The sequence below is a fragment of the Homo sapiens genome, chromosome 5 (assembly GCF_000001405.40).
Source record: "Homo sapiens chromosome 5, GRCh38.p14 Primary Assembly".
Classification (NCBI taxonomy): domain Eukaryota; kingdom Metazoa; phylum Chordata; class Mammalia; order Primates; family Hominidae; genus Homo; species Homo sapiens.
Genome location: NC_000005.10, coordinates 90,710,433 through 90,713,516, shown reverse-complemented (window position 1 = coordinate 90,713,516; position 3,084 = coordinate 90,710,433). Strand labels below are relative to the sequence as shown.

The window sequence follows — 3,084 nt, the reverse complement described above, 5'->3', positions numbered from 1 at the left end:
AATCCATTTGCATTGGGTTTTCTGTTATTTGTACATAGACTATTCTCAACCAACACATGGTATTCATTCATACAACGCTTTACCACCCCACTATGTTCTACAAGAAAATGATTTGATCTCAAACATATACTCTTTGAACTTGAAACAACAGCCACAGCCTCAAAAAAAAAAAAAAAGGCTTCTGGGGACTTAGAAATATCAATGTATTTTATCAAAATAGCAAGAAAAGTAAAAACCAATCCTTGGGTTACTCAGAATTCTTTTATATTTTCTACTACAAATCAAATTTCTCCATAAAGGCCAATAATTCAGGAATGCAAATATTCATCAAACTAAAATTTTTTTTAAAAAAAACCAGCTCAGCCACTGACTAAAACAGGAGTTTGAAGGGTCAGTCAGCATTCAATCCTTGAAATTCATTTGGCTTGTCTATCATCAGAATGAACGGAAGTGACTTTTTAAGAGCCCTTCCAACCCTCAAGTTCTGTATGTTCCCGAGTTTTCTCCTTTGTCTCTTTCTTACCTTCTCTAAACAGTCAGCACAATACCTATCAAGCAATGGAGTAGGATGACTCTTAGCAACAATATCAAACTGTTCCAACCAAGAATTACGTCTCCCATAATCTGTCTGAAGTATCAGTATACCTCAACACTATGCGGAAATACTACAGAGTAGATGACACTAAAGGAGTTCCTTTACTCCTTTGTACAAAGGTACAAAGTAATTCTACAAAGGTAGAATTACTACCTTTGTAATTCCTTCTATTGCTAAGTAGGAAACCAGAACAAAATTCAAATTCCAAAGGAAAGACATCTACAAATTAAATAATCCTACAATAACTGAGGAAATAATATTATCTGTAGTATCAACCTACTTTGTCTTTTACATACATGCATATATACACCAACATACACACGTGAGAGGCACTGTTACACAGACACAGGAATTCTGAAATGCTCTAACTTAAAATCATTCTCATTTTAAGCACAGAAAACCACCAAGACTTTCTCATTCCTTTACATCTTCCCCCATATTAAGGAACCCAGCATGAAGGAGAGGAAGCTGTTTATAAGAAATTATTAATTACCTATTGTATTTTTCCCTAGCTCTAGTCCAGGAGAAGGATTTGTTAAAATCAGCTGAAATTTTTCATCTCCTTCTGGAATGTCATCATCAAGAATCATGATATTGACATTTTTATACCTTTCTCCATCAGCAAAATGAAGAATCTGGTCAAAAAGGTAAAAGCAGAATGTATTATATTTATATACACTGTGAGTTTCTATAGAATGTTTGGAAAGAAATACAATATAGTTGTGAATGTAAAGAATAAGCTATTTTACATTGAATTTTGTCTCCTTATATTTTGGTTTATATCTTTTTATTTAAATTGGCAACATTAAGTTTAAAAAGTAAAAATTAAGAGGGGGCTGGGTGCATTGGCTCACGCCTGTAATCCCAGCACTATGTGAGGCCGAGGCGGGCTGATCACTTGAGGCCAGGAGATTGAGAGACCAGCCTGGCCAACATGGTAAAATACACTAAAAATATAAAATACAGTAAAAATACAAAAAAAATTAGCATGGTGGTGGCCACCTGTAATCCCAGCTACTCAGGAGGCTGAGGCAGGAGAATTGCTTGAACCTGGGAGGTGGAGGTTGCAGTGAGCCGAGATCGCACCACTGCACTCCAACCTGAGTGAGAGAGCGAGACTTTGTCTCCAAAAAAATTATAGGGGAAGAGAAGAAAGTAAACATTTGGCTAAGAAATAAAAGGCATGAAGAGACCAAGTAAAAGTATTTTAAAACACTAAACGTGTTTCAGTGAGCAAAAACAAAGAAATGAAAGAGTTAAAATTTTCGTGAAGTGTAAGAAACATTCTGGGAAGATTATCTAATGATATAAATTCTTTAATATTACAGCTTGTATTCTCTAGTATCAAATACTGTAATGAAATAGTTAATGCATACAGAATAACATTTAGAATAGTAATGAAAATTCAATTTATATTTACTAAAATAGTTAAGGGAACTATTTTACCATGAGGAAATCTTCTGTCCTAATTTACTGTGAAAAATACAATGGTTTTTAAGAATAATTTATTTATATGGGACCTAAATCACTGTAATTCTCAAGGAATAATGATTATAAAATAATTTGTAAAAGTCATCTGTGATAGATTTTGAGACCCACCATTGGGGTGAAGATATAATCCAGCCCCACTTGTGCTTCCAAATTCTGAGCATACACAAATAAGGAAACATGGCCAAGAGGTTCTCTGCTCCTCTGGGCTACCAATGTTAAACTTCCATGGGTTTCATTTACTTCAAACCTATAATATAGCAAAAAAACAAAAACAAACAAAAAAAATTAATTTTTCCCTTAGAAACTTTTATTTGGTAGATAGTAAATAATATGAAACCCAGAAGAGGGCTCTCATGCAGCCTTGGCCTTACCTGCTTTGTTGCCATTCAATTACACCTCGGGCCCCATCATTGGCATCAATAATAACTTGTGCAGTCAAACCTTCTGAATCTTAAAAAACATAGAAGCATATCTTAAAATACATATAAATGATTAAAAATATTTTTGATATAGGATTTAAAGACAGTCCCTTTGAAATTATATAATTCATAATGTACAGGTATTATCAACATTACTCAAAAGATGTTTAAGAAAATAAAGAGACAATGCTTATCACGTCTGAATAAGGACACTTTTGGCTAACAAGAGCCACTGATTTATAGAAATTTAATCAACTGAGAACAGTATAAAATAATAAACAACTGAGATTACTATTTTGTTTCTATTATTTTAATTAGTTAAAACATATTTGGCATCTCTATTCTATAATATCACTATTTCAGGAGGAAAGGAAAATGGGGACAGTTGGAAGGAGTAGAAAGAGCAAAAAAAAATGAAAAATAAATGAAAGAAGTGCAAGGAAAGGTACAGAGAAAACAGAGGTGTGCAAAAGAGACACAGAGAGACATGGACACAAACAGAAGTAGAGACACATGGGAAAGATGGGGAAAAAGTTTGGTGAAGTCAAGAGAGATTAATATCAAAGTAAACTTATCTTC

At 33.5% G+C, this 3,084-nt stretch overlaps 1 protein-coding gene across 16 annotated transcripts in view; it reads right to left on the bottom strand.

Moving 5' to 3' along the window:
• The window catches only part of ADGRV1 (adhesion G protein-coupled receptor V1), a 605,641-nt gene that overhangs the window by 450,921 nt on the left and 151,636 nt on the right, over positions 1–3,084 (bottom strand). For all 16 annotated transcript variants that reach the window (NR_003149.2, XM_017009963.3, XM_017009969.3 and 13 more), the window contains 3 exons: positions 2,458–2,536; positions 2,195–2,333; positions 1,089–1,230 (listed from right to left, as the gene is read on the bottom strand). Coding sequence is in view for 15 of the 16 variants with exons in the window: in XM_017009963.3 (XP_016865452.1) it covers positions 1,089–1,230; positions 2,195–2,333; positions 2,458–2,536 (360 nt within the window). In the remaining variant the exon portion in view is untranslated. The remainder of the gene's footprint in view (positions 1–1,088; positions 1,231–2,194; positions 2,334–2,457; positions 2,537–3,084) is intronic.